Source organism: Homo sapiens, chromosome 7 (genome assembly GCF_000001405.40).
Source record: "Homo sapiens chromosome 7, GRCh38.p14 Primary Assembly".
NCBI lineage: Eukaryota > Metazoa > Chordata > Mammalia > Primates > Hominidae > Homo > Homo sapiens.
In genome coordinates this window covers 155638552-155657746 of record NC_000007.14, presented here as the reverse complement: position 1 = coordinate 155657746, position 19195 = coordinate 155638552, and the positions used below count along the sequence as shown (strand labels likewise).

General features: G+C 40.7%; 1 protein-coding gene and 1 long non-coding RNA gene across 2 annotated transcripts in view, besides 3 other annotated features; one reads left to right on the top strand and one right to left on the bottom strand.

Moving 5' to 3' along the window:
- Nucleotides 1-13086, bottom strand: part of RBM33 (RNA binding motif protein 33) — a 136820-nt gene extending 123734 nt beyond the window's left edge. Inside the window, exon 1 of the mRNA NM_053043.3 lies at nt 12828-13086. Within this exon, the coding sequence (NP_444271.2) occupies nt 12828-12870 (43 nt within the window). The 5' untranslated portion in view covers nt 12871-13086. The remainder of the gene's footprint in view (nt 1-12827) is intronic.
- Nucleotides 12759-13268: a silencer, noted in NCBI's record as "silent region_18849". NCBI's record gives its function as "represses an Ori minimal core promoter by ATAC-STARR-seq in GM12878 lymphoblastoid cells {active_cell/tissue: GM12878}" and the evidence as "EXISTENCE:reporter gene assay evidence [ECO:0000049][PMID:35858748]".
- Nucleotides 12759-14147: a biological region, named in NCBI's record as "NANOG-H3K27ac-H3K4me1 hESC enhancer GRCh37_chr7:155436294-155437248".
- Nucleotides 13193-14147: an enhancer, noted in NCBI's record as "NANOG-H3K27ac-H3K4me1 hESC enhancer chr7:155436294-155437248 (GRCh37/hg19 assembly coordinates)". NCBI's record gives its function as "activates a minimal SCP1, AML or CMV promoter by ChIP-STARR-seq in primed H9 embryonic stem cells {active_cell/tissue: H9 hESC(primed)}" and the evidence as "EXISTENCE:reporter gene assay evidence [ECO:0000049][PMID:30033119]".
- RBM33-DT (RBM33 divergent transcript) lies at nt 13341-15831 on the top strand. Its single transcript, NR_126344.1, has 3 exons — nt 13341-13533; nt 14143-14279; nt 14777-15831. It is a non-coding gene; the product is annotated as an RBM33 divergent transcript (long non-coding RNA).
- The last annotated feature ends 3364 nt before the right edge of the window (nt 15832-19195 follow it).

The window sequence follows — 19195 nt, the reverse complement described above, 5'->3', positions numbered from 1 at the left end:
ATTAAGACACAGCGAAGAAATTAGTACTTAATCACAATCATCCATGGCAGACATTGCTAATTAATTAGAGCATCCACTGGGTGCAGTGGCTGGAGCCTGTTGCCCTAGCTACTTGGGAGCCTGAGAAGCGAGGATTGCTTGAGGTCAGAAATTTGAAGCTGTAGTGTGCCATGCTCATGCCTGTGCATGGCCACTGCACTCCAGCCTGGACAAAACAGTGAGACCAAAATAAGAAAAAACGAAAAAAAAGAGCATCTAATTCTGCTGAAACCAGAACATCTTTTTGCCAGGCTAGCTAATAACAAGTATTATAACCTTGTTAACAAGCATATAATCCTTGGCCTCCTCACTGATTTTTGATTCAGTGGGCTCTTTTTGCTTTTTAAAGTTCCCACTAATTCTGATGGACAGCTAGGGTTAGGAATCCCTGTGTTCATCTCACACTGTGCATCAGCGCGGGCACTCCGGAAGGAAATTTAACTGCCATCGTGCTACGTAGCACTTTCCGGAAATTTCAGAGTTAAATCTACAAAAGCCAAAATTAGAGGCCAGGATCATCAAAAATAATTAAAGTATTTTCCCAAAGGAGAGACGCCATAAAATACTAAGGAAAGTGGCTGTTGAAATCATTCCAAAATCAGAGAATGCAAGATAAGCAAAAAATATGAATACAAATGAAGAGTCATGAAACCTGTATCCTTCACTCGACAACTATTTCTTGACCACATAATATATGCCAGGCACTGTTCTAGACAACTGACATACAAGACAAAAAAAAAAAAACCTTCACCCTGTGTAGGTTACATTCTAGTAAGAAAAGACAAACAGTAATCCCAATAAACTAATATATGGTATGTAACTTAAGGCCTTTATTGGAAAAGACTAGAGCAGGAGGGTAAAGAAGACAGGAAATGAGGTAAGGGTCAGCTGGTACAAACTGGGCTGACTATAATTTTAAAAAGAATAGTCAAACTTAAGAAACAAATCAGTATTACATGTTAATGCAACATATTTTAATGACAAAAAGTCTATAAAACAAATATTTTTTAGTTTTCCAAAACTCTTTAATGTCTGACTTTGTAGAAAACAGCTGAATTCTTCTATCTGCTTCTGCATTCAATCTCTTGTGAGATATATACATACACATATTTTTTTTTTCCTGAGATGGAGTCTCACTCGATATGTTTTTTGACTGAAACACATGAAAGAAATCTGACTCCAAATAAATACGTAGTTGTAAAAAGAAGTACTTTGTCTTTTCAAACAATTTTAGATATTCTTCGATACTACACTAATAATCAAAAAGTGGCCACTTCTTAAAGACTGGCTGCAATGCAGAATCTGAAGCCACAGCAATTAATATTTCATACCTGTTATGTTAAAGTCCAAGCGTGTCTTGTACTGTTATTGGATCTTTAACCATGATTTTGTGCCACCATGCAGTGGTCATTTTGAAAATATTGGTGCCCTGATTTATGTAGTACTCCAAATGCTAACACATTTCATTATCCAATATACAAAATCACACTGGTTAACAACATCACCAATCTCACCAGGAAAGTCCTCAAGTGCTGGGAAGTTTTCAAGCTCACAATATCAAATATAAGTATTTCAAAATTCTCATTTTTGTTTGAAAACTTACATATTATCATTGGCAACAAATAATGTCCACTGTTTTACTTGAAGTGACAGGCTCACTTCATTTTCAAGAATGTATCCGCCAAGCACTAAAATCTGAATAACCACAGTCTGTCAATTGTCCTTTCAAGTAAAAATGATGTTCTACAGAAGAAATAAGAAAAGCTAGCTCAGCTCACAATTAAATTGAACAAGTACCTTTTTTTATTTTTATTTTTTAAGAGACGGGGTCTTGCAATGTTACCCAGACTGGACTGAACTCTTGGGTTCAAGTGAGCTTCCCGCCTCAGCCTCCAAGTAGCTGAGAACACAGGTGCACACTACCATGCCAGCTGGACAGGTACTTTTCCTGAAGACAACTGTTATACTTCAGTACGAAACAGAAGTCCTTTATGCATATGCTCCCTACTTGTCACAAAGATTTTTTAAATGCACTTTAGGATCAAGATTTAATAAAATAAATAATTGTCACTGCCTTAATTCATGTTAAAACACCAGAGAATGTACCCACCATTACTTTTGCAACATTGATGCAAATGTCAGCACAGTAAAAAAAAAAAAAAAAAAAAAAAAAGGCAAACAGCCTTAATACCGTTATGAAAATAGTCTGACTTCACAGACACTCTGACATAGTCTCGGGGACTCCCAAGATTTTGATAAATACTGTTCATCATTTAGTGAACAAAGGTAATATGTACAAGGATGTTCATCAAGAAGTGTTTTATTAATAGGAAAAAGTAGAAATAAACCAAATGCCCAACAAAAAAAAGCCAGAGCAGAGAGGTCAAATAAAAGTACAGTCATGTAGTTACATATTAGGCAGCAATAAGAATTTTAAAGTCAAACTGTTTCCTGACATGAAAAAATATCCCCAATAATATAATGGGGGGGAATTCTCCAATATCATACAATATGGTATGGCCACTGTGTATGTAAAACATACGTGTACACGTGTGCCCAGGATATAAGCCAAACTGCTACAATGGTAGTTATCTGTTCACACAGAATTAATTATGGATTTATGGTCTTCTTTATTCTTCCTTAAACTTTTAAAAAACTCATTTATTAGAGTAATAGCTTGATTATCTATACCAAACTAATACATGATCATTATGAAATATTATTGCAATACCTAAAAGCACAAAGATATTACAATCATCCCAAATTTCTCTGATAAAAACAATTGTAAAACTAGGAGAAGAACATCACCACCAATGTTTATCTGTGCACACATGTGAACATATAATGTGAGGACAAATAAAATTATTAAAAGAGGACAATATATAAAATTTTTAATGAAGTATTAAGTTTCATATTATGTAAATTTATCAGCAAAAAAGCAAATGAACTTAAATTAATGAATGACTTAAATTTGAGTAAAGATTCCAAAAAATATACACAATGTGATGAGGGCTGGGGAAAATCAAGTTTGGTTTGACACACTAGGTAATAACTGAGATGAAGGCTGAGAATAACTACATTTTTGTCAAGTAGATGGGCATTCCAGGGAAATAACAGCACAGAGGCTGAGTTCCACAAGCCTAGAGCACAGCAAGGAGTTCAGGTGAGTTGAAAGCACACTCATAGAGAGAAGTAGTCAGAAAGAAAAGGTGGTAAAGATTTGGGGCATTACTAGAAAAGCAACGTAAGAAATCTATACTTCATATGCAACACAGCCTCAGTTTAGGAAAGGTAATCTAGTAGCAAGAAGCAAGAACTAATTAATCGATAAAACATAAACAATGGTAAAACAAAGTAACTACAAACCAACCATTAAGAAAAAAAAATGTGGTTAGCATCACGGTGAAGAAACAGAAGGGAGAATAAGACAAATGCATGAACCAGAAACTGTCAATTTAGAAATTCCAAGGCATGTTGACTAACTGAATAGAACAAGGAAGGAGAAGTCAATGAAAACATCAGTATTTTGAATCTGGATTAGTTGTGGATTGATGGATATACGTGCTGGTTTATTTGAGGGTGGGGTAGAAGTTAATAAGTTTGGTTTTTAAAATGCTGCATGTGTATTATTACACTTCACTCAGCCATCTTTTGCAATATTTTTTAAAAGTTTGACTTGCTGACTGTACCAAATTGCACAATCATACTGCAATACCAACAACTCCATTCAATCCTAATACTAATCATCTGGAGTTCGGGCAGGCCCCACAGGTTAAGGGCTCAGTTTCACAAGGCTGCCCCACTTCAGATGCCAACTGCAATGAGGTGCCCAGGCTACTCACACTTCTCCCTGGCTGAAGTCTACAAATTCTGGGGTTATCACACCTCCCCCCATTGCTATTACTATAACAATTCACAGGACTCAGGAAAACACCGTACTTACTGTTACAGTTTATTATAAAGGATACAAATGAAGAGCCAGATGAAGAGGTACACAGGGCCAGTCTGAAGGGTCAGGGTGCACCACCCTCCCAGCACGAGGAGGTGCTCACCAACTCAGAAGCTCCCTAAACCTGATGATTAAATCACTGACTAATGGTGATTACCACCAATCTCCAGCCCCTCCCCTCGAGGGAGGCTGGGGGTTGAGCCTGAACGTTCTAACCCTCTTAACATGGGGTTAGTTTTTCTGACAAGCCCCCACCCCAAAGCTATCTAGGGCCCCCACCCCCGCTATAAGCCATCTCATTAGTGTAGAAAAGATAGTAAATTCAAAGGGTTTCCAAAGTTCTGCCGAGGGAACCTGGGCAGAAAAAAATATTCATTTTTTATCATACCACAGCATCCCCCAAAAGGGCATGTCCACCAGAACCTCAGAATGTGGCCTTATTTAGAAATAGAATCTATGCAGATGTAATTAGTTAAAATGAAGTCATTCTGGATTAAGACTGGCCCCTAAATCCAAGGACTGGCGTGGCAATTCCATTTCTGGGTATACACTCAAAAGAACTGAAAGCAGGCACTTGAAGACACATTAATATACTCAAGCTCCTATTAGTATTATTTACAATAACCAAAAGGTGGAAGCAACTCAAGTGTCTATTGAAGGATATATGGTTTAAAAAAAAATAGTATAGATATATAATGGAATATTATTTAGCCTTAAAAAGGAAGTTCTGACACATGCTACGACACTGATGAATCTTGAAGACATCATGCTAAGTGAAATAATGACTCAAAATCTTACAGGGCAAGCTAACACAAGAACCCTGTACAGCCTGTTTATATTCTTAATATATTCTGAGTCATTTCCCTCTGTTTTCCTTTAGAATACAAATACTTTTTAAAGTTCCAGTTCATAGCAGTCATATTAAACAGAACCAAGAAGAAAAAATGTGTCCCCATTAGTCCAGAACTTTAAAGGAAGAACAGCACATCCATGAAAGCCAAGGGGTAAAATATTAACTGAGCAAAACGAAAGAGGTCAATGACCTCCTTACCTGGAAAATCTCCTTCTAAGGCCTAAACATTGTACAAGACATTCTATTTTAATAGGGGGATCAATTTTCCTTCAAGACTGAAGATATCTACTAGATTTCTACAATTCTCTATCATGCAGCAATCAGACATCTACAGTTAACACAAACTTTTACTTACCATTCTATTTCTTCTTCTTTTCCAGAATCCTCGACTTGGATAAGATACCACATAGACTATTAGCTTGTGATAGGGTTCTAGCAATTATCTAATCTAAGGGTCAGCAAACCAAAGCCCATGGGCCAAGTAGGGCCTGCCACCTGTTTCTGCCCAAATTTAGCTACCACCCGTGTATGTAAATAAGCTTTTAATGGAACACAGCTATTCCAATTCAGGCATATATTGTCTATGGCTGCTTTCAAGGTAAACGGCGGAGTTCAGCACTTCCAACAAAACTCATCTGCCCTGCAAAGCCTAAAATATTTACTATCTGACCCTTTACAGAAAAAGTTTGCTGACCTTTGTATTCCAAAGGTTCTCAACCTTCTTTTTCCTCAATATCACACTCATGTATAATATGTTCCTAGTCCAAATCACTAATAGTCAAAATTCCTTATTTTATAGATGAGGAAATCCAGATCCTTTATTTAAATATTAACTACAAATCAGGTAATGTCCAATAACTTTCGAAGTGAACATATGAGCCTTACAGCATAACTAGTAAGTTCTGAATAGCCAAGCCAAATTTTCAGAAAGAGTTCCTACACCATGTTGCTTTAGAAATAATTTGTAGTCACTGTTTTAAAAATCTCCTATGTTACACGGGCCCCAGGAGAGGTTCTCCCTAAAATGAAGTTTTTATTTTGTTTATGAAGTGTAGTCCTCATTGGTCATTTGTTTGTCTTTCAACAAACTTTCATCATTCAGGGTTTAAAAATCAATCATAATAGAATTCCTGCTTGATATGAGATAGGACCCCTCCTATTATGGAAGTTATAAAGGCTTGCTCTATAAACTTGGGTAGCCGAGAAGAGGCAAGTGAGCTGAGCTCAGCCTACTGGATGTTCCCATCATGACTTAAAATCTATAGGAACTGACACTCATTTCTTTTCCCAGGAACCTAGACCCTTTTTTTTTTTTTTTTTTTTGGTGAGACAAAGAGTTTCCCTGTTGCCCAGGCTGGAGTGCAGTGGTGCGATCTCGGCTCACTACAACCTCCACCTCCTGGCCTAGCCATGAAGCCTTCTAAATGGCTGAGTTTAAGGGATGAAATGTCAAACAAAGAGGAGAAAATGTTGTTAAAAACTTCTAGAATGAAAAAAGGTCACATAAAAAATGATTAGGAATCAGAATGTCCTCAAACTTCTCAAGAGCAGATCTGGATGCCAGAAAACACAACAATACCGCCAAAAATCTTACAAAAATAAACTCAAATCTAAAATTCTGGACCCAACAAAACCACCAATCAAGTTGTGAAAATTAAAATTTCCTTCAGACTCAGGAGTCTCAATCTCAAAAAATTTACCTTCAACACACACACTCAAGAAGCTGTCGGCCAGGTGCAGTGGCTCACGCCTGTAATCCTAGCACTTTGGGAGGCCGAGGCGGGCAGATCACCTGAGGTCAGGAGTTCCAGACCAGCCTGGCCAACGTGGCAAAACCCCGTCTCTACTAAAAATACAAAAATCAGCTGGGTGTGGTAGCATGTGCCTGTAATCCCAGCTACTTGAGAGGCTGAGGCTGAAGAATCGCTTGAACCCAAGAGGTGGAGGTGGCAGTGAGCTGAGATCACACCACTACAACACTCCAGCCTGGGCGATAGAGCGAGAGTCCGTCTCAAAACAAAAACAACAACAACAACAACAAAAAGAAGCTGTGGCATTGCTTAACTCTATATCAATGTGGAAATCTGAACATAAAGAATAATTTTTCTAGGAAAATTTAAATGATCGTAATTGACTTTTCATCTTATAAAACTAAATAAATCAATAATAATACAGGAAATTGAAAAGATAACTTTTTTAAAGGGAACCAGACCCAAATGGCTCTGGAGAAAAGAGTTCTTCCACAGTCAATAACAGATTTTTACACCATCCCAGAAAATTTCACAACTCATTCTAAAAACCAACATATCATAAATAAAAGGATAGCACAAATGTACACACAAATACCAAGGAAGAAAACAGTAAGTCAGTCTCCCTTATGATCAGAGATAAATCCTAAAATGAAATCCAACAATATATTAAAAAGAACAAAATGTGGAGATCAAGATTTTGAACCCCAGAATGCATGCTTAGTTCAGCACTGGAAATCTATCAATAGATTACATTAAGAGATTAAAGAACAGGGGAAGAACACATAATCACAACAGATGCAGAGAAAGCGTTTCACAGCTCAGAGGCAGCACTGGGGATGGCAGTCAGTGCTCCTGGTGCAGTGATGCTAAAGGGGTCAATAAGAACCTGTCCTCAAAAAATTGTGATTGTGCATTGTGACCTGAGCTGAGGAATCAGCTCAGAGACCACCCCTTCAGAACTCTCTCAGAGCTAGAGCGGCATCCCAGGCAGTGCTTGTCAAAAGCATTTAAAGACATCCACTAACCAGGGTCACCTGGGGCAAGGGATGATGGCCAGGGTTAGCAACATACAAACTGAAAAGCCTGGGAAAGAAGAGGCTGAGGAGGAAAATATATGAAGGAATGAGAGTGTTGGGGGCTCCCATGTATAATGGGAAATCTGGAAGACCATGCATATGCTGAAGGCTGGGCACATGCTCAGAAAACAACTTGAAAGAACCCTAGATTTATACCTCTGGCTGATCTTTGAGCTACGCATATGCAGAAGGTGAGGCTAAGGTTGGGGTTATAGGTGGCCTGGATGAGCAATGAAGTAACGTAAGCACAGGAGTTTTTGTTTGTTTTTTGGTTTTGGTTTTGTTTTATTTGCAGCTCCAGCCATTTGAGGACATCTCCATCAGATCACTGGCTGGGCAATGATACAACACAATGGAGACATCAGTGACCACAGGAGACAAGGAATAGAGTCTCTTCATTTGGCAAGTCATTAAAAAACCAGACAACTGAAGGCCACAACAAGAAATATAGCAAACCCAGAAAAGGGGGGGGACATTCTGACTTCCAAAATTTCCACATCACCATATTTAAAATGTCCAATTTTCAGTCCCAAAACTGAGGGACCGAAAAAATCAAGCTAACATGATTTAATCAGTTACACAGGTGAATCATGTGGAATTGACTAACATAAATTAGGATACAATTATATTTTTTCAGATTCATACAGAAAATATGTCATTCTTTAATTCATTCACCAAATATCTAACACATGCTATGTGCCAGGAAGATGTGGAATGCATGGTAAAACAGCATTTTTTCTCCTCATGAGGCTTACAGGCTTATGTGGGAGGCAGATTTAAAAAACAAGTAAATAACTAAAGAAAATTACAAATTGAGATAAACGTTCTGAAGAAAACAAGGGTGCTATAGGTGAGGAAACAGGAAAATATTGAAATTATCCAGTCTAAGGAGCAGAGGAAAAATAAGCAGAGCCTTAAAAAACGGGGACATCATTAAAAGTACCAATCTATGCATTATGGGAGTCCCAGAAGGAGAAAACAAAGTAGCAGGAAAAAGAACTGGAGAAAAAAATAAAAAGCTTCCAAATTTGGTGAAAGACATGAACCTACATATTCAAGAAGCTCACCACTCCAAGCAGGATAAATCTGGAGACCCACACAGAAACACATTATGATCACACTATCAAAAGCCAAAGACAAAGAGAATCTTGAATACACCAAGAGAGAAGTGACATGTCATGTACAAAGGATCCTCCATAAGATTAACAGTCAATTTCTCATCAGAAACGATGGAAGCCAGAAGGTGATAGGATGAAATATTTCAAACTGCCATTCAAAAATTATATCCCCAGGTATGACCTAAGGGACTTTGTCATTAGTACACCTGCCCTACAAGAAATGCTAAAAGTACTCATGGCTGAAATGAGAAAGGCTATTCTTTCCCGACTCCTCAAACTCTCTTGATTGAAGCTAAGAAATTAAGCATGAAAGATTTTCTTGAAGGAAAAAAAAAAAGAATTAAATACACACATAATTATCAGTATGAAAACATCTCATTTATCAGCACTATTAGTGATTAAAATGCTCCAAAAATTTCCTACCAGGTAAATTTTACCTGTTGAAGTACTAAAACTTGTTTCACTTTCACAATTTCGAATGAAAACCTTCTGCACCATGCTTCATACTTTCCTGCCTTACTACATACTGACACAGTGGAAGGAACACTGAACTAGAAGTCAAAAAACCTGAATTCGAGTCTACTTCCCTTTCTTAACAGCTAGGTGGCTGAACTTTTCTCGGCTAGTTTACTATCAAATGTAAATTAAAGCAACTGGTTTAGTATCTAAAGTCTTAACTCATCCCAGCAGTGTATCTTGCTCTAAAATTTTACCAGCCTAGGATTTGTTTGAAATATACAAAAGTGGAGGTGGGGGGATGAAAACAGATTGCCAGAATGTTGATGCTAGGTGATGGGTATGTGGGTTCATTATTCTACTACTGGATGTGTTTGAAATTTCCCATTAAAACTTTTTATTTCTAAGAATTGACTAGAAAACAAAAAATTTACAAGCACCCATTTTTTCACCTCACCTATAAAATCAGATTAGCTCAGGCCCAAGAATGCTGTTGTAAATCTTAAGTGAGATAACGCACTCACTAGGTTGGAGGCTTTTTACGATTTGTGTACTGATTTTTTATTTTATATTTTACAAGGAAGCACTGGAACTAGAAGATCTTGAAACTCATTAAACTATTTGTTCCTTCCCCAAAATGCCATGTTTTTGCCTTTATGTTTTTGTTTTCAGTCTCCAATAAATAACAGTTGTCATTCTCTCTGCTATTAGTAAGGATAGCAATTCCATTTCTCTATCCTTACTACTTGGCTGCAATACCAAATGACTCCTTTGAAATGTATCATGCCAAGGCATGGTGGCTCACGTAATCCTTGCACTCTGAGAGGCTGAGGCGGGCAGATCACTTGAGCCCGAGTTCCTGCCTGGGCACCTTGGCAAAACCCTGTCTCCACAAAAAATACAAAAATTAGCCAGGCGTGCTGGTGCACACCTGCAGTCCCAGATACTCAGGAGGCTGAAGTGGGAGAATCAACTGAGCCCAGGAGTCCAAGGCTGCAATTAGCCATGATTATACGACTGCACTCCAGTCTGGGCAACACAGCAAGACCCTGTCTCAAAAAAAAAAGTAAAAAATAAGCAAACACTCCTATAGACACTTTGTGGTACCCATTTTGGCTATCCAGATTGTGGATAGCCAAGACCTATTTTATTCAATAAATACTAACCACTTACTATACAAGAGACCAGTGATTTTCAAACTGACAATCTCGAACATTTTGTAGGTTGTGAAATTAATCCAGGTCACAACCAGCATTTTACTGTAATGAAATAGAAAACATTAGAGTGCATGGCATAGTATGGACCAGTATTGTTCATGAAATTTTTTTTAACTTTTATGTATGTACTAAATCACAATGTCAATCACATTTCTGTGGCTGCCATTTTAAGAAGTTTGAAAGTCACTGTGCTAGACAATATGCTAAACTGAGCTGCCAAATAAGCTATCGATAGCTCAATAAGGTATTACCAATGTAAATATTTCTCCAAGCTAACATGATTTAATCAGTTACACAGGTAAATCACGTGGAAATGACTAACATAACTTAGCATACAATTATATTATTTCCTATTCGTAAAGAAAACATTTCATCCTTTAATTCATTCACCAAATGTTTGTTGAACACATGCTATGTGCCAGGAACACGTGGAACGCATGGTAAAACAGGTAGCATTTTTGTCCTCATGAGGTTTACAGGCTACTGTGGGAGGCAGATTTAAAAAACAAGTAAAAACTGAAGAAAATTACAAATTAAGATAAACGTTCTGAAGAAAACAAACAAAGGTGCTAGAGAATGAAGACAAGAGAGGCACAAGAGCAACGGACATACATTCCTCAGATACAATGAATTCTCAAGGAAAGCCTCCCTTAAAAGCGTGAGATCCACTGGATCAGGAGTCAGCCCTGGCAAGAGCGGGTACAGGAGCAGTCCATGCGATGAACTTCCAGGATAAAGGAAGCAATCACACAACATGCTGGTGGGGTAGGCAGGGACCAAGTCATACAGAACTCACAAATCTTGGCAAGGAGTTTGGTATGAAGAGCAAAGGAAACTTTGGCACTTGTGACAAAATGGAAGGAAAAACTCCAAAGCATCATGAATAAAGCCTACTTATTCTTCTAAAATAGCAATTCTCAAAACTTCTGACCTCAAAATTATTGAAGACCCAAAAATGCCTGTTTATCTGGATTACATTCAGTGATATTACTATTTTAGAAATTTAAAATGAGAAACGTAAAAGAATACACAAGCATATATTCCATTAGCCATCAGCATAACGTCTTCACATGTTATTCAGCCTCTAGAAAACTCCACTGTACACTACTGAAAGAAAAGAGAAAAAATACAAATAACACCTTAGTCTTTCTAATGAAAAGAGTGTTCACCCAAGAGTTCCCAGGTTACACTGGGAATGCTATAAAACAAGTAATTCTGACCCCCAGAAAGATAGGTGAACTATACATTTTAAAATTTTAATTAGTCTCAGATGTAACACGCAAACATCATGTATTTAAACTGAAAGAAAAGTGGCATATAGCAAACCAAATTGCCAGAAGCGACATTCCTACACTTAGTCTTTTTTGTTTTTCCATTTTGTCAGGCAAACGTTTTGACAGTTGGGCCAAAATTCCTAAACAGGATGATAACAACGTAACCATCTGCTAGCATTTACTAAAAAATACTTCTCGAGTATACACTAGACTGGCTTTTCAACGTTTCAATGGTAAGAACTAATCCCAAATGCTTTTGTTATCCATATTTTACCATCTTTTCAAAGTTTTCAAAATAATCACTTAAAAAGTCACTTTCAAGTATCTCTCCACGTTTTTAAAACCCCCAGTGATATGTAATTTTACCTGAAAGTAATTTACCTACAATTTTTTAGAGATAGGTGTTTCATCAATACTGTTTATGCTTGCAAACAAGAAAAACTATCCAAAGGAACTGACTCAGTATCTAAACCTTTTGTGTCACGTTTTCACTTTTGGAAGACGCACATAAAACACTAACAGGTTATTAGACAACAAATAAGTTAATTTAAAACAGGGATTTATTGAGACTTTCTCAAGAAATCTCACTTTCCAAACTGGCCTACTGTCGCACATTCCTTCACACAGGTGAATCTTTTCGTTATGTTTTTGTAATGGGCTTCAAATCAATCTAAATCTGTCAGGATGGCCCCACAATCTTAAACACCCACCCTACAGCGACCTGCCCCGCTCTCCCTAAGTGACACTGTCTCGGGGGGTGGGGGGGGCGCTCTCCTACCCATAGGACACCAGGCCGGCTTCGGCACTTAATGCCCGCCAACGCCAGAGATGGGCCTGACACTTAGGCAGCCTTGCAAAGTAGAGGACACACAGAAGTTCACAGGTAAGTACGATCTGCACAGCGGAGAGGAGGAGCGAGAAAGGGAGAATGACAATAGCGAGGGAAGGCGAGGGAGAAAACGGAATAGGCCGAACACAAAGAGAGTCGGAGCCGGGGAGAGCCTCGTCCTCTCCTAAGCGGGGAGGCCCCCCGGCCTACACCCCCGCCCACCGCGGCGCGGTCCTGGCCCCCAGAGTCCGGCTGCCTCACGTACCTCCGGCGCCTGCTCCTCCGCTCGCTCCCAGGGCGGCCGCCATGGCACTCGCGGGGCCCGGCCTTCAGCCTCCCCCACCAAGCCAGCTGGTGGGCCGACGTGCCTGGTCCGGGCCCGGGTACGGGTGACGGAGGACAGAGAAGGGAGGGGGCTGCAGGAGGCAGAGGCGAAGCCGGGCGCTTCGCGGTCCACAGCTGGCCCTTCGCCTCCGCAGGAAGAAAACAACAAACTACCGCAACATGGCCGCGCGCCCGCGCCCGCCGCGGTGCACCCTGGGATGATGGAGGCCGGGAGGCGGGCGGGCGCCGGGGCCTGCCCCCGCCGAGGCCGCAGCAGCCCTGAGGCCGCCGCCGTGTTTCGGGCGGTGGGCGTGCAACGCAAACACGCGGCAGTCACCTCCGCCCGGCTCCTGAAACCCAAATGTTTGAAGCAGGGCGGGGACGACTGCTGGCCATAGGTCGATTCCGGGTTCAGTCGTAAGGCGCTTTGCAGCAGTCGGCAAAGCGAAGCTTTACGGCAGCCCGTCTCCCGTTAGGAGCCGGGGAGGCAAGGTCCAGCGTACGGTCCGGGGGAACCTTAACTGTCGTTTCTGTGCCTGGACAGTAGGTTGGAGAGTGGGGTCTGAATGAGCTACAGTAGTGAACGCCGACGGCTTGTGTTGAGGGCAGGAAAGGGTGCACACAGCTCCGGCAGGTGCTTCCGCGAGGTGAGATGAGTGCCGCGCGCGCCGGGCTAACGTGCACGCGCACTCGTGCGGCGCCCGCGAGCCCTCACTTCCTACAACCCGAGACCCTCCGGACCCGCGACCCCGGACCCCCGTCCCCTTCTCCGCGCCCGGCTGGGCAGCGGGCAGCGCCGGACCCTGATGGGCTCTCGGCCCTTACTGCCCCTGCGCCTTGCGGCCCTGAGAACAAGACGTGAGCAGGACGGATAGCGCCCGGCACTCATGTCTGAGTTTGCATTTTGAGCAGTGAGAAAGGTTAAGAAACGAAATCCTCATACTTGACATAAAGGAAAGGGTGCTGGGTGGTCAGACAGCTGTGGACGAAAGGGCTCAGGGGTTTTGGGGTGTGGGGCCCGGGAAGGCGCATCTGAGTGGTCGCAGTCGGGGAAGGGGGTTGATTAAGTACACACCGGCTGTAAACATTGATTCCATATCGGTCAATGTGGGGCTTAGGTGAGGCGTTCTGACCCAGCAATGAAACTGGAAAGGTAGGCAGGGGCCAGGATTCCGGACTTTGGGACGTTTTTCTGAGTCTATGGGGTCTATTGAAAGATTTTAGAAACAATTTACATGGTAAGATTTGTATTTTAGAAAGGTGACTGATACAACAACGTAGAGGACCCTGCAATGTGGAGAGGCATGAAACTGGAGGTCCAGTGCCGTGAGTTAACAATCAAGACGTCCATACAGGAGATGCATTGGTGGATGGGTGAAGAGATGATAAAACGGTACGTATAATAAAATGCTGGCCGGGCGCGGTGGCTCACGCCTGTAATCCCACCACTTTGGGAGGCTGAGGTGGGTGGATCACGAGGTCAGGAGTTTGAGACCAGCCTGACCAACATGGTGAAACCCCGTCTCTACTAAAAATACAAAAATTAGTTGGGCGTGGTGGCACGCGCCTGTAATCCCAGCTACTCAGGAGGCTGAGGCAGGAGAATTGCTTGAATCGAGGAGGCGGAGGTTGCAGTGAGCCGAGATTGCGCCACGGCAATCCAGCCTGGGTGACAGAGCGAGATTCTGTCTCAAAAAAAAACAAAAAAATTATTCAACTGTGAGAACTCACTCCCCAAAAAAAATGTTTTGCAAGCAACTCATTGAAAAATGGTCTCTATTAAAAAGCACGTTAATACATCCATATTTAAATGGCTTGAACTCTTTATCACCTTTCATTATTTTTTGAACTGTGGAGGATGGCATGCCTAACTCAGAAAATATTTTTCAGGATAATTCAGTGGTGATCTTCAGAAGAATTCCACAAAAAACCAAATTAACAGATGAAACAATCTCATAAGCCACTTGAAACTGAATTTCTCTAGAACAAGAGTCTATAAAATTTTTTGATCAAACACCCACTGGAAAAATTTTTTAGCGTGGACACCCAGTATTTGAAGTTCTTGGTAAATTACTGTGAGTAAAGATTTAACCAACCCCTTGTCCTTATCTATGAACAAACTTCACTTTGTGTTAACTTTAACTTGTCATAGAAACCTTATGAAGGCAGAGTGTTCATTGTGGTATAAAACAACATTGGTTGTAGGCCAGGCGCGGTGGCTCACGCCTGTAATCCCAACACTTTGGGAGGCCAAGACAGGTGGATCACCTGAGGTCAGGAGTTCAAGACCAGCCTGGCCCACATGGCAAAACCCCATCCCTACTAAAAATACAAAAATTAGCTGGGTGTGGTGGCACATGCATGTAATCCCAGCTACCTGGGAGGCTGAGGCACAAGAATCACTTGAACTCAGGAGGTGGAGGTTGCAGTGAGCCGAGATCACACCACTACACTCCAGCCTAGGTGACAAGAGTGAAACTCCATCTCCAAATAAATAAATAAAACATTGCTCATGGTAAAAATGACCTCTGACATGTAGACTGCCTCTGGCTTGAAAGTACTGAATAATCTTAAAACACCTAGTGGGAAGCCATACCTTTAGCCTCTGTTACTGTCTTAACTGAATGTGGGAATCTAAAAGACAAACTCAGGGAACTGGTTTCCCGCCGGTCAAGGACTTCCAAGCCAAGCCCCCACCCATAATGGTTTGCTCCTGAATTGCATTTGGGCCAAAGAGTAGAGCTCTTCCATGCCTGTACCGCAGTGAAGTGTGTTTCTTCTCCTCAGTCCTCCAAAGTGGAGCTGCTGCCAGGCGTGGCATTATATGAGTGTCAGGGGTTAAACCTAAGAAGACTACCTAGTGAGCGCTGCAGTTTCATACATATCCTACTGAAAATCTTAAAAGCAAGCTTTGCTTTTTTGTAAATAAAGCGAATATAGAAGTCTTTCTCGTCTCAGTAATGATGAACTGGAAATTCTGTTCCCCTCCTCCAACAAAACAGATTCTGTGGAAAACATTTTTTGTTGTATTGCTAGGTTTTAGGAATAATGTTTCCAAAGGATCAAGAAGGAAGCAAAACGCTGGGCACAGTGGCTCACACCTGTAATCCCAATGCATTGGGAGGCTAAGCAGGTGGTTATCACTTGAGCCAAGGATTTCAAGAGCAGCATGGGCAACATGGCAAAACCCCATTTCTACAAAAAATAAAAATAAAAATAGCCAAGCATGGTGGTGCATACCTTTAACTGCTTTGCATAACTACTCTGGAGGCTGAGGCGGAAGGATCATCTGAGTCCAGGAGTTCGAGGTTATAATGAGCTGTAATAGCACCACTGCACTCCAGTCTGGGTGACCAAACAGAACCCCATCTCTTAAGCAAAACAAACAAACAAAAAAAAAACAGATCCAAAGCCTGAGCAGTTAGTAGTGTACAGGAAGTTCAGGGTTTCACTGGGGAAGTCATCCCCATTTGCACTGCTAATAGGAAGCAAATTCTTGGACAGCTTTTGAGGAGGGAATCTAAACCCCAGGCTCCCAAATTAGGCCAGAGATCCTGGAAGGGCTTTCTCAAATTATCCCCTTATATTCTTCACAGTTTAAGGTCAACCAACTATGGACTTAAAATCAAAGATCACAAAATGCACGAGGGAAGAAACCACTGTAAGTGAAAAATACAAACTAGATTGACCTCCTAGGGACTTTAGTTATTAAAATTACCATAAAGGACAATATTTGAAAGGTTTAAGGAAATAAAGGATGAAAAAAATCAAGAAGAGACTGTCTAGAGTAGCCAGAGAGTGCTTCCTTTTTGTTGTATCTGAACAATGTCCTAAAGCCATTAGGCAGCACTAGTGGTATAGCAGGGCTGGGAGAGGTGGGGAGGGATGTGCTGGCCAGGCTAGAGGATCGGAGCCCAAGCATGTGTTCCAGCTCATACCCTGTGAGAGGGCTGCCCAGCAAGGCATGTGAGAGCACCACAGGTTTCAAAGTATGTCCTGTGGATTGGCAAAGTGAGGAGGGCATCCACCCATGGGGGCAGTTCAACATGGGGAGTCACACATGACCGGGTTACTAGGACATGATCCTGAGGGATGGGCCCAAGGTGGAATTCAGGGCCCTACTGGGATGAGGTGGGAGTTGCCAAAGATAAGTAGACTAGAACGGCAGAACACAAGCATCGTGAGAGTTTTCACACAGGTGGGAGGCAGAGCACAGGGAATCAGAACTCCAGTTATAAGGGGACCTACACAGAAGAAGGTGACAACAGAGATGGCATGTTGGTTATGAACAGGGAAATTGATCAGATATATAAATATATGAAGGGTGATGGAGCTAAGTTTCACACTGTGCAAATAGGGAGTTACTTATATGAAGAAAAAGCTAAAATTAACCCTATGGTGTGTCACTAGAATAAAGAATCAGAGTGATTGCACTAATGGTTTTTGATAATTGTATTTCATTGTAGGAATAAATGTATATGCAAATATGTGTATGCCTGTTTTTGTATAACTGTGTGTGTGTGTATGTGTGTGTGTTTCCTAACTGTCCACCAAGAGTGCCCTGGAGACAGCAGCCCATCTTGAGCACACCCAGCACCTAGACCTTGGTTTCTAAATACCACTTTTCAAAAGGAACCAGTATTACTTGGAAAAACAACTGATTTCAGAACTGGGGCATGGAATTCGCAAGATCAGCCTGGAACATCTTGTTCCCTCCAAAAATCAAGGAAGTGCTTGAATAGTGATAAAGATATGTCAAAATGACACAGAAGTGAGATTTAATGGGCCAAAGCAGAGATGAGATGAGCATCAAATTAAATAATGAGAGCAATAGACTAAAAACAGGAAAGCTTGTGTCTATACAAATATTGATAAATAATAAATTGAACTTTATATGGAAACAGTATATCAAAATAGTTAAGGTGTTCCTTCCTAGAAAATATATATTAATTACATAGTAGAAAAGAATAATTTTCAGTGGAAAAGCCTCTAAAACCACCCTAACTGATCAAAGTAAACATTTTCAATAATGGGATAAATAAAAGTTGCCACCTGATATAATACAATAAGAAGAGTACAGCATCACTTCTGTGATCATCCTGTCAAAGATACCTAACCAAATCTAATTCTGAAGAAAAAAGGACAAACTCAAATTGAGAGACATTCCAGAAAATAATTGGCATGTAATCTTCAAAGATCTAATTACGAAAGTCAAGGAAACACTAAGAAAACATTTCAGACTGAAGAAGAAAAAGACATCACAACTAAATGCAATAAATGATCTTTTCACTCTTATTGGGACAATTTGCAAAAATTGATAGGGTCTGAAGGTTAGATGGCAGTAACACACCAAGTTAATTTCCCGATTTCAGTGATTAATACGCTGCATGTAGGAAGAAAGCCTTTGTGGTAAATACATACTACATACAGTGCTTGTGGCTGATGGGGCATCTGCTCAGCAACTTGGTCACACATGATTCACAAAAAAAGTTTAATTTTACTCTTAAACTTTCTACGGGTTTGTAATGCTTCAAACAAATTAAAGAGGAAAAAAAATCAAACACTGTTCAAAATACAGTTGTTAAAAAACCCAAAGGCAAAATTACACAGATGAGACAGAATTGAGAGAATTTGGGAATTAAGGGTAGACAAAAAAATTGCGCAGAATATAACACAAAGAGGAAAGGAGATGAAGGATGTGAATGAGAGGTTTAGCAATTGAGAGACTGGAATGAGGATGCCAAACACGTGATATAGCTTGAATGTTTGTATTCCTCCACCCCAAATTCATATGTTGAAACCTAATCCCCAAATGTGACAGTATTTGGAGGTGAGGCCTTTGGAGGTGAATAGATGAATGAGATGAGTGTCCTCATAAAGAAACCCCCAAGAGCTGCCTTGCCCCTCCCGCTGTGTGAGGTTAGAGTGAAAAGATGGCCACCTATGAGGAATGGGCCTTCACCAGACACTGAATCTGCTGGCACCTTGATCTTGGACTTCCCCACCTCCAGAACTGTGAGAAAGAAATTCTGTTTATAAGCCACACAGACTGTGTTATTTCATTACAGCAGCCTGAAGGACTAAAACACTGTAAAAGTGAGGTTCCAGAAGGAGAGAATAAAAAGTATAGAGGAGAGGCAATATTCGAAAAGATGATTTCACATGATTTTTAAGAATTAGTGAAAGACGTAAATCCAAAGATACAGGAAGCATAACAAGCATGGGGTAAAAAAAAAAATAAAAAAATCCACATCTAGACGTGGTGAAACTAAAAATTTGAATAACCAAAAAAGAGAAGATATAAAAAGC